Genomic DNA, 12,532 nt, shown 5'->3' on the forward strand with positions numbered 1-12,532 from the left:
ACATTTACTTTTCCATTTAAACAAATTTATCTAATTCTTTATAACTTTCATAGCATATATGCTGAGAAAGGCTTTTCCCATCCTCAACTCATATCTTCTTGTCTTAAGAAGTATTTACTCTTTAATTCATTTATAGTTTATCTTAGTGCATATTGTGACATTAGGATCTAAACTGACCTTTTTGTCCCCAATTTTCATGTGTCAAGTAATTTTCCCCCCCTTATCTAAAGAACAGTGATGCCTTGTTTCAATGTGTATGAACAGACATCATATCTTCCACCTGTAATACATACTTTTGCCACTCTTTCTCTATCTGAAAGTGTCCTTAAAATTCCTCTCCGCTGGGCACAGTAGCTCATACCTGTAATCCCAGCACTTTGGGAAGCCAAGGTAGGAGGATCACTTGAGCCCAGGAGTTCAAGACCAGCCTGGACAACATGGCAAGACCTCGCCTCTACAAAAAAAATTAAAAATTGGTTAAGCGTGGTGGCGCATGCCTGTAGTCTGAGCCCAAGAGGTCGAGGGTGGAGTGAGCTGTGATCACGCCACTGCAATCCAGCCTGGGCAGCCTTCTTCTTCTTCTTTACAAAATATATTGTCAGGGAAAATTTTGAAGACCTTGAAATAGACACCCCCCCTGCCCCACAAGAAACAGTCTTGATTAGTGCACTGTTTAGGATTATCTCCACCTTTCACTGTCTTTGAGCTATTCACAATTCTGTAAATTGTAATTCTACTTAGAAGCAAAACAGTGATAGAGCTACAACTGTGTATGTGCTTTTGTTTAACATGGAAAATGAGTAGTTTTGATGGTCTCTAAGTCCCTTTCCACTCTTAGCACTTATTCAGGACTCCAAAGGGCTTTGTTTACATGGGTTAAAATCATTAATACTTAACGTATTAGAACTTAAAATTGAGAAACTTAAAAAATAGTTTTTTATTTGAAGATGAGCAATATTGAGTGCATTACATTTAGCATAGAAAACATCTTAGTATTAATATGAAAATCATTTTGACTGGCCAGGCGCGGTGGCTCACACTTGTAATCTCAGCACTTTGGGAGGCCAAGGTGGGTGGATCATGAGGTCAGAAGATTGAGACATACAGTGAAACCCCGTCTCTACTAAAAATAAAAAAATAAAATAAAATAAAAATTAGCTGGGCGTGGCGGCAGGTGCCTGTAGTCCCGGCTACTTGGGAGGCTGAGGCAGGAGAATGGCAAGAACCCGGGAGGCAGAGCTTGTAGTGAGCTGAGACCGCTCCACTACACTCTAGCCTGGGTGACAGAGCAAGACTCCGTCTCGAAAAAAAAAAGAAAAAAAAAGAAAATCATTATGACTTCAAGAACCCTCTGAGATAGAAATACTGAACTCAAGCAAAATGTCACTTTGTTGCAGAATATTAAAGAGCATAACTAAAGATACAACTGGGGAAATGAATTTTATTTTCCTCAGTTTATACCTGAGTCTGAAAGAAGCTATAAAATGGTTAACATCTTAGCAAAGTTAACTCAATTTAGAAGGACCTGCTCCCTTGGTTTACTGATAAATACCTATAATATAAAATGCTATTCTTTACTTTTTGTGTAATCTGCTAGATAGCAAATAATCTGTTTTATTAAAATAATATTCTATGCTTTATGTTGTCTTTATTGTCCTTTAAATTTAAGAGGAAAAAAGAACAAAGGCTCCTGACTTACAAAAGAGCTAAAGTTCTTTTCAATCATATCATCATCTGTATTTATTTTTATTTATTGTCACCGTAGTAAAATAGGTAACTAAGTATTATTTCTCAAGCACTTATGATTATATCTTAATGAAGTATCCACATTTCCTCTCATACTTATTTGATTTTTGCCTTCCTGTGATGAGCTGAACTGTATCCCCCACCCAAATAGATCTGTTTGAAGCTTTAACCCTGAGTACCTCAGAATGTGACTGTATTTGGAGATAAGGGCATTAAAGAGGTGATTATTAAAATTAGGCTTTATTTTTTTAGTATCCTCTTGCTTTTCAAATTTGCATTTCTTTGATACTAAAGAGGGTAATAATTTTTGCATGTTTCTTAGTAACATAAATTTCCTCTTTTTGGAAATTAGGCCCTAATCCACCATGACCTGTGCTCTTGTACGAGGTGGAAGAAACATAGTCGGCCCTCTGTATCCATAGGTTCCATATTTGCAGATTCAATCAACCATGCATGGATAGAACATATTTTTCTTTGTTCATTTGTTTTTGAGACAAAGTCTCGCTCTGTCGCCAGGCTGGAGTGCAGTGGTGTGATCTTGGCTCACTGCAACCGCCTCCCGGGTTCAAGCGATTCTCCTGCCTCAGCCTCTGGAGTAGCTGGGACTATAGGTGCGTGCCACCACGCCTAGCTAATTTTTGTATTTTTAGTAGAGAGGGGGTTCCACCATGTTGGCCAGGATGGTCTTGATCTCTTGACCTTGTGATCCACCTGCCTCGGCCTCCCAAAGTGCTGGGATTACAGGTGTGAGCCAGTGTACCCGGCTGGAAAATATTTTTTTAAGAAACCCCAAAAGTTCTCAATAAATAATAATAATACAATTAAAAATCATACAGGCCAGGCATGGTGGCTCATGCCTGTAATCCCAGCATTTTGGGAGGCCGAGGCAGGCAGATCACCTGAGGTCAGGAGTTTGAGAACAGCCTGGCCAAAATGGTGAAACCCCATCTCTACTAAAAATACAAAAATTAGCTGGGTGTGGTAGCACTGCTTGTAATTCCAGCTACTCAGGAGGCTGAGGCAGGAGAATTGCTTGAATCCAGGAGGCGGAGGCTGCAGTGAGCCGAGATCCTGCCACTGCATTACAGCCTGTGCAAAAGAGTGACACTCCACCTCAATTGAAAAAAAAAAAAGGGGGGGGGGTACAGTACTATCCAGTTCTAATTTCAGTTATTATTTAAAATGTTTTCTGGCACAACCTTACTGCTCTAATTCTCACTTATGCCAGTGGTTCTCTAACCTTATTGTTTCTAATCCACATATTCTATGCCAGTAGTTCTCAAAAGGGGATGTTCTTCAGGCTTACCCATGTAGTTGTTTTTTTCATGATGGAGTTTTGCTCTTGTTGCCCAGGCTTAAGTGCAATGGTGCAATCTCAGCTCACTGCAACCTCCTCCTCCTGGGTTCAAGCGATTCTCCTGCCTCAGCCCCAACGAGCAGCTGGGACTACAGGTGTGCACCACCATGCCTGGCTAATTTTTATATTTTTAGTAGAAACGGGGTTTCACCATGTTGGTCTCAAACTCCTGACCTCAGGTGATACACCCATCTCGGCCTCCCAAAATGCTGGGATTACAGGCATGAGCCACTGTGCCTGGCTCCCATGGAGTTTTATAAAAATAAAATAAAAAATAAAAATATGTCTAGGCTTGATCCTACACTTGCTGGTTCTTTTGATATTCTTGTGTATACCTGGTATGTTAGATCTCAAGATTATTAAGTTGTATCTCAAGATTTCGTTTTTGTCTATAAATGGTTATGCTCAGCTATATTTACATATCAGACATAAGAGTCACTGAGTTCCTTGAAAATAGGCCTAATCATCATCTTTGGAAACATTATTATTCTTACTCTGAATCTTCATCAGATCATATCATTTGATAATTATCAGTAATAAACTAGCCACAGTTATTTTAGGCCTGTGTAACCTATTAACCAGAGCAGTTTTTGTCTGCTCTGATGCTTGCCTGAAGACTCTCCTACAAGCTACAGGCCAGTTTGTGTTTTCAACAAAGGAGTCTCAGAGCCCTATTAAAAGGATTCCAACAGGTATGTGAAACAATGTATACATCAAAGAAAAGACACTTGGGTATAGGGTTCTGAAGAGATCTCTCTTACATAACTTTCAAAACGTAGCAGTGAAGTACATTAGGATTCCTCATATTCTTTTTTGTTAGGTGAGAAACAGACATTTCATGAAACTGCTAACCCAAGGTCCAGCAGAATAAGAATTCATTATGACATAAGAAAGAATGAACTGATGAAGAAAAATTTATTATGGTTACATGTTTGAGTAATGTTTAATTTTGATTTTGTGCTCATTTTTCCTTTCTAAAGTTATCCACAATTTCATAAAACTCTGCTTGAGTAAACTAAAAGGAATTATTTAAAAATGCTACCTGATTCTCACTGATGCCCAGAATTCCATCTCTTACTAAGTCTCCCTTCATTAGTAATATATTTATAAAGGTTCAATAAGAATATGTCCCCTTTCCTACTACAATATAATTGAAAAAAATCTATTATGCAACCAAAGACTTATCTGAAGTGTTATATTTGAGAACAACGGTTACTTAATCCGGTATGACAAGTCACTTTTTTTTCTTTTGTAGAGACAGGGTCTTGCTATGTTGCTCAGGCTGGTCTTGGACTCCTATCCTCAAGCAATCCTCCCGCCTCAACCTCTCAAAGTGCTGGGATTACAGGTGGAAGCCATCACACCAGCCAATAAGTCATCTGAAGGAACAAAGTTTGCCTGTACTAACAGGGGCGATGCTGAGGATACCCTCTGTGCAGTAAAGATTAGCTCAGCAGGTTTGGGGTATTCCTATGGATTGAACTGGGTCTCCTAAAACTTTGTATATTGGGCAAGGCACGGTGGCTCATGCCTGTAATCCCAGCACTTTGAAGGCCCAGGTAGGCACATTGCTTGAGCTCAGAAATTGGAGAACACCCTGGGCAACATGGTAAAACCCCAACTCTACAAAAAATACAAAAAGTTAACTGGGTGTGGTGGCATGCACCTGTAGTCCCAGCTACTCAGGAGGCTGAGGTGGGAGGATCGCTTGAGTCTGGGAGGTGGAGGCTGCAGTGAGCCAAGGTCATGCCACTGCACTCCAGCCTAGGCGACAGAGCCAGACTGTCTCAAAAAAAAAAAAAAATTGTGTGTTGAAATCCTAATCCCCAATATCTCAGAATATGATCTTATTTGGAAATAAGGTCACTGCAGATATAATTAGTTAAGGTCATAATGGAGTAGGGTAGGTCCATAACCCAATGTTTTGTGTCCTTATAAAAGGGGGAATTTGGATGCAGACACGTACAGAGAGAAGGCCAAGGTCTACAAGCGAAGGAATGCCAAAGATTGACAGCAAACCACCAGAAACTAGGAAAGAAATATGTAACAGATTCTTCTTACAGCCTTCAGAAGGAAGCAACTCTAAATTCGGACTTCTAGTCTGCAGAATAGTGAGCCAATAAATTTGTATTGTTCAAGCCACCGAGTTTGTGGTAGGTTGTTACAAGCAACTCTAGCAAACTAATATAGTTGTTTCAACTTTACACATTTTAAAGAAAGGTGTGCCCCTTGCCTGGCTCCAGGGAGATAATAATCACTAAACCAAAGGAATATTCTGGCTGTTAAGAATGTCCTTTTGTCAGCCGGGTGCAGTGGCTCATATGCGTAATCCCAGCACTTTGGGACGTCAAGGCAGGAGGATCACTTGAATCCAGGAGTTCAACACTAGCCTGGGCAACATAGTGAGACCCCGTCTCTACAAAAAAATTTAAAAATTAGCTGAGTGTGGTAGCAAACACCTGTAGTTCCAGCTACTTAGGAGGCTGAGGTGAAAGGACTGCTTGAGCCTGGGAGGCTGAGGTTGCAGTGAGCTGTGATCATGTCACAGCACTCTAGCCTGGGCAACAGAGTGAGACCTTGTATTTAAAAAAAAAAAAAATTCCTCTTGTTTACCCATGGCACTGGCCACACAGATAGTTTATGATTAAAATGTTAATTCATGCTGGGGGCCATGGGTTTAACCTCTGGATGGGCTAGAATTGGTAAATTAAATTCACATGTAACTAGTTTTTATCCTATACAGCTTGAGTACAGTGCAAAAAGATTATCAATTTTTACACAATTTTTTATCATAAAATATACATAAAATTTACAATTTTAACTGCACAATTTAGTGGTAGCAAGTATATTCACAATGTTGTGCAACTATCACCACTAATCATTTCTAGAACTTCATCTTCTAAAACAGAAACCCATTAAATGGAAACTCTCCGTACCCTCCTCCCTCTAGGAACTAGTAACCACTATTTCTGTCTCTATGAATTTGGTTGTTCTAGGTACCTCTTATCAGTAGACTCATATGATATTTGTCCTTTTGTGTCTTTCACCCCACATAATGTTCTCCAGATTCATACAAGTTGCATAATGTATGAGAATTTCATTACTTTCTATGGCTGAATACTATTCCACTATAGAGGTATACAATATTTTTTTTCACTCATTCATCTGCTGATGGACGTGGGTTGTTTCCACCTTTTGGCTATAATGTATCACAATTTTTTGATGAAACTAAATTGCAGCAAAAACGACTGATTTTAAAACACCAACTCCTTCCCCATTCTAATGCAAATAATCTCAAGGTCTACAGTTTCGAAGGTGCCAAAATGCATTCCTAAGTAATGGTGACCTTTGTTAAATATGAGCTTAACTGAAAAAGCCTTTTAATTATAAAAAAAACATCAAGTTTATTTACAATAAAAAGCACTGGACCTTTACAAATGTCAACCTTCATAGTATCCTCGTCACTGTGAATAGATAAAATCTATTAACACACACGTGACTCAACTTTTGCATCACTTTAAAGAAAATCAGAATTCTGGTTTCCATCAATAGATAAACAAGAAGACAATTCTGAGGAAGTTTGGGATAGTAAAAAATATATATGAAAAGAAGGACATTTTGGTTTCAGGTTGTCAAAAAAATGAATGAGAAAACAGCATTCAAATATTTCCAACTAAGTAGTAAATTAACATCAATGAAAAAATAATCAGCTCTGCAAGAATAATAGATAAAAAATAGGTATATACAAGTTTGGCTAAAGCTGCATGGATATAAAAGGCAAATTTAAAATGTTTAATTTTTTAAATTTTTACTTTTTTTTTTTTTTTTTGAGATGGATTCTCACTCTGTCGCCAAGGCTGGAGTGCAGTGGTGCAATCTCAGCTCACTGCAACCTCTGCCTCCTGGGTTCAAGCAATTCTCCTGTCTCAGCCTCCTGAGTAGCTTGGACTACAGGTGTCTGCCACCACACCCAGCTAATTTTTTGTATTTTTAGTTCAGACGGAGTTTCACCAAGTTGGCCAGGCTGGTCTCAAACTCCTGATCTCAAGTGATGTGCATACCTTGGCCTCCCAAAGTGCTGGGATTACAAGCCTGAGCCACCGTGCCTAGCCTTATTTTAATTTTTATGAGTACACAGTAGGTATATATATTTATGGGATACATGAGACATTGTGATACAGGCATACAGTGTATAAAAATCACATGAGAATAAATGGAGTATCCATCCCCTCAAGCACTTATCATTTCTTCGTGTTACAAATGTTCCAATAATATATTTATTTTTAAATGTACAATAAATTATTCTCGACTGTAGTCACTCTGTTGTGCTATGAAATACTAGACCTTATTCATTCTATTAACTATATTTTTATACTTTTTTTTTTTTGAGACGGAGTCTTGCTCTGTCACCTAGGCTCGAGTGCAGTGGCTCACTTGGCTCACTGCAAGCTCCGCCTCCCGGGTTCATGCCATTCTCTTGCACAGCCTCCCGAGTAGCTGGGACTACAGGCCTGCAGGCGCCTGCCACCATGCCTGACTAATTTTTTTTTTTTTTTTTTGTATTTTTAGTAGAGATGGGGTTTCACTGTGTTAGCCAGGATGGTCTTGATCTCCTGACCTCATGATCTGCCCGCCTCAGCCTCCCAAAGTGCTGGGATTACAGGGGTGAGCCACCCCACCCCTGCCATTTTTGTACTTATTAACTATCCTCACTTCCTCCCCTTACCCCACTACCCTTCCCAGCCTCTGGTAACTATCATTCTATTCTCTATCTCTGTGAGTACAACTGTTTCAATTTCTAGCTTCCACCAACAAGTGAGAACATGTGACTGTCTTTCTGTGCTGGCTATTTCACTTAACATAATGTCCTCCAGTTCTCATATTGTTGCAAATGACAGGATCCCATTCTTTTTTATGGCTGAATAGTATTCCATTGTGTATATATACACCACATTTTCTTTATCCATGTCTGTTGATGAACACTTAAATTGATTCCAAATACTGGCTATTATGAATAGTGCTGCAATAAACATGAGAGTGCAGATACCTCTGTGATGTACAGATTTCCTTTCTTTTGGGTGTATACCCAGCAATGGATCATCTGATAGTTCTATTTTCAGTTTTTTTAAGGAATCTCCATACTGTTCTCCACAGTGGCTATACTAATTTACAATCCCACCAACTGTATACAAGCGTTCCCTTTTCTCCATATCCTTGCCAGCATGTTATTGCCCTCTTTCAGATAAAAGCCATTTTAACCAGAGTGAGATAATACCTCATTTTAGTTTTGATTTGCATTTCTCTGATGATGTTGAGTACCTTTCATATACCTGTTAGCCATTTGTATACCTTCTTTTGAGAAATGCATATTTAGATCTTTTGCCCATTTTTTAATGAGATTATTAGATTTTTCCTATAGAGTTGTTTCAGGAACAACCGAGTTGTTGAGTTCAACAGAGTTCAACAACTGAGTTGAAACAACAGAGTTGTCTTTATATATTCTGGTTATTAATTCCTTATCAGACGGGTAGTTTGCAAATATTTTCTCCCATTCTGTGAGTTGTTTCTTCACTTTCTTGTTTCCTTTGCTGTGTAGAAGCTTTTTAATTTGATGTGATCCCATTTGTCCACTTTTGCTTTGGTTGCCTGTGCTTGTGGGGTATCACTCAAGAAATTTTTGCCCAGACCAATGTCCTGGAGAGTTTCCTCAGCTTTCTTGTCATAGTTTCAGGTCTTAGATTTAAGTTTTTATTCCATTTGTACATGCTTTTTGTATACAGTGAGAGATAGGGGTGTATTCGTCTGTTTTCATGCTGCTATAAAAAATTGCCTGAGACTGGGTAATTTATAAAGGAAAGAGGTTTAACTGACTCACAGTTCAGCATAGCTGGGGTGGCCTCAGGAGACTTATAATCATGGCAGAAGGCGAAGAGGAAGCAAAGCACCTTCTTCACAAGGTGGCAGGAAGAAGTGTCGAGCAAAGTGGGGTAGAGCCCCTTATAAAACAATCAGATCTTGTGAGAACTCACTCATTATTACAAGAACAGCATGCAGGAAACCGATTCCATGATTCCATTACCTCCACCGGGTCTCTCCGTTGACACATGGGGATTATGAGGATTACGATTCAAGATGAGATTTGGGTGGGGGCACAAAGCCTAACCATATGAGGGGTCTAGTTTCATTCTTCTGCATATGGATATCCAGTTTTCCCAGTACCATTTATTGAAAAGAATATCCTTTTTCCAATGTATGTCCTTGGCGCCCTTGTCCAAAATGAATTTACTGTACATATATGAATTTATTTCTGAGTTCTCTGTTCTGTTCCATTGGTCCATGTGTCTGTTTTTATGCCAATATTATGCTGTAATTTTATTGGGGTCTGTCTCTTGTTAGCTCTAACAATATCCGCTTTGTATATCTGGGTTTTCTAGTGTTGGGTGCATATATATTTACAACTGTTATATCCTCTTGTTGTACTAATCCTTTTATCATTATACAATGACCTTCTATATCTTCTTATACTTTTTGTCTTGAAATCTATTTTGTCTGATATAAGTATAGCTACTCCTGCTCTTTTTGGTTTCCATTTGCATGGAATATCTTTTTCCATCCCTTTATTTTCAGTGTATGTGTGTCTTTATAGGTGAAGTGTGTTTCTTTGCAGGGAGCAGATCACTGGGTCTTGTTTTTTCATCCAGCCAGCCACTCAGTGTCTTTTGACTGGGCAGTTTAGTCCGTTTACTAAATGTTATTATTAATAAGGACTTACTCCTGACATTTTAAAATTTGCTTTCTTGTTTTATGGTCTTCTCTTCCTTCTTTCCTTCCTTCCTATCTTCCTTTTTGTGAATGTGACTTTCTCTGGTGGTATGTTTTAATTTCCTTTTTTTTTTTAATTTTCTGTGCATCTATTAATTTTGTTTGTTTTTTTGAGACATGGTCTTGCTCTACTGCCCACACTGAAGTGCAGTGGCACAATCATGGCTCACTGCAGCCTCAACCTCCTGGTCAAACAATCCTCCTACCTCAGCCTCCCAAATAACTGGGACTATGGGCATGTGCCATGATGCCAGGCTAATTTTTATTTTTTATATAAATGGGGTATCACTATGTTGCCTAGGCTGATCTCAAACTCCTGGGCTCAAGCAATCCTCTTGCCTCCTGTTTTCTGATCTGATCTGAGGTTACCAGGCTTGCAAACAACATCTTAACTGATGACAAGTTTACTCTCATTACAAAAACAAATAAGCAAAGAGAAAAATGATAAAAACTTTACACTTTATCATCTTTTCCCCTGCTCTTTAATTTTATTACATCTATTTATATCTTATTATATTGTATATGTCTTTACAAGTTGCTGTAGTTATTATTATCTTTGATCCGTTTTAGTCTTCTTACTCAAGATGAGTAGTGCGCACACCACAATGTCTGTGTACTTACTATTATCGTGAGTTTTGTACCTTTAGTTGATTTGTTATTGTTCATTAATGTCCCTTTCCTTCAGAATGAAAAACTCCCTTTAGCATTTCTTATAGTACAGGTCTGCTGTTGATGAAACGCCTCAGCGTTTTTGTTTTTGTTTTTGTTTTTTTTTTTTTTTTGAGACAGTTTCCTCTTGCTGTCCGGGCTGGAGTGCAATGGTGCGATCTCAGCTCACTGCAACCTCCACCTCCCGGGTTCAAGCAATTCTCCTGTCTCAGCCTCCTGAGTAGCTGGGATTACAGGCGCCAGCCACCATGCCCAGCTAATTTTTTAATTTTTATTTTTAGTAGAGATGGGGTTTTGCCACGTTGGCCAGGCTAGTCTCAAACTCCTGACCTCAGGTGATCTGCCCGCCTCAGCCTCCCAAAGTGGTGGGATTATAAGCATGAGCCACCACGCCCGGCCACCCCTCAGTTTTTGTTTGTCTGGGAAGTCTTTATTTCTCCTTCACATCTGAAGGATATTTTCAGTGGATATAATATTCTGGGATAAATGTTATTTTCCTTTAGCACTTTAAATATGTCATGCCATTCTCTCCTAATCTGTAAGGTTTCCACTGAGAAGTCTGCTGCCAGATGTACTGGAGCCCCATTGTATACTGTTTCTTTTCTCTTGCTGCTTTTGAGATCCTTTCTTTATCCCTGACCTTTGGGAGTTTGATTATCAAATGTCTTGAGGTAGTCTTATTTGGGTTAAATCTGCTTGGTGTTCTATAACCTTGCACTTGAATACTGATATTTTTCTTTAGGATTGAAAAGGTCTCTATTATTAGCTCTTTAAATAAACTTTCTATCCCTCTCTCTCCTTCTACCTCCTCTTTAAGGCCAGTAACCCTTAGATTTGCCCTTTTGAAGCTATTTTCTAGATCCTGTGGGAGTATTTCACTCTTTTTTCTTTTGTCAACTCTGTATATTTTCATATATCATGTCTTCATGCTAATTCTTTCTTCTGCTTGATCAATTCTGCTGTTGAGAGCCTCTGATGCATTCTCCAGGTTGTCAATTACATTTCTAACTCCAGAATTTCTCTTTGATATTTCACCATTGTTTTAATCTCTTTGTTAAATTTATCTGATAGGATTCTGAACTTCCTCTGTTTATCTTCAGTTTAGTTGAGATTTCTCAAAACAGCTGTTTTGAATTTCTGAAAAGTCACATGGCTTTGTCTCTTCATGTTTGGTCACTAGTGCCTTATTTCATTGGTTTGGTGAGGTCATGTTTTCCTGGATCGTCTTGATGCTTCTAAATTTTCAGCAATGTCTAAGCGCTGAAGAGTTAGGTATTTATTCTATCCTTTGCAGTCCGTACTTGTTTGTACCTGAACTTCTTGGGAAGGCATTCCAAGTATTCAAAAGGAATTGAGTGTAATGATCTCAATTCTTCAGTCACTGCAGCCATCTGCATTAGTGGACACTCCAAGCCCAGTAACACTTTTTTTTTTTTTTAAGAGACAGAGTCTCACTATGGTTGCCCAAGCTGGAGTGCAGTGGCTATTCAAAGGCACGATCCCACTACTGATCAGCACAGGAGTTCTGACCTGCTCCATTTCCAACCTGAGCCAGTTCACCCCTCCTTAGGCAACCTGGTGGCCCCCCACTCCCAGGAAGTCACCATATTGATGTCGAACTTAGTGCAGACACCCAATCAGCAGAGCACATTACAGCCCAGAGCTCCTGAGCCCAAGCGATCCTCCTGCCTCAGCTTCCTAAGTAGGTGGGACTACATGCACACACCACCACGCCCAGCAAAACTGTGACTCTTGCCAACTCATAGAGGTACTGCCTTGGTGAACTTGGGTAAGATCTGGGAGAATTCCCTGGATTACTAGGCAGAGTCTCTTGTTCTTCTCCCTTACTCTCCCCCAAACAAATGAAGTTTCCCTCTCACTCTCTCTCTCTGTGCTGAGATTCTTAATAGTTGGGGTAGAGGTGATGCAAGCACTCCC

General features: G+C 39.3%; 1 protein-coding gene and 1 pseudogene across 23 annotated transcripts in view; both read right to left on the reverse strand.

Moving 5' to 3' along the window:
• Positions 1-12,532, reverse strand: part of HERC4 (HECT and RLD domain containing E3 ubiquitin protein ligase 4) — a 153,379-nt gene that overhangs the window by 73,780 nt on the left and 67,067 nt on the right. The window lies entirely within an intron of this gene.
• RN7SL220P (RNA, 7SL, cytoplasmic 220, pseudogene) lies at positions 12,034-12,333 on the reverse strand (annotated as a pseudogene).

This window comes from Homo sapiens, chromosome 10 (genome assembly GCF_000001405.40).
Source record: "Homo sapiens chromosome 10, GRCh38.p14 Primary Assembly".
NCBI classification, from domain to species: domain Eukaryota; kingdom Metazoa; phylum Chordata; class Mammalia; order Primates; family Hominidae; genus Homo; species Homo sapiens.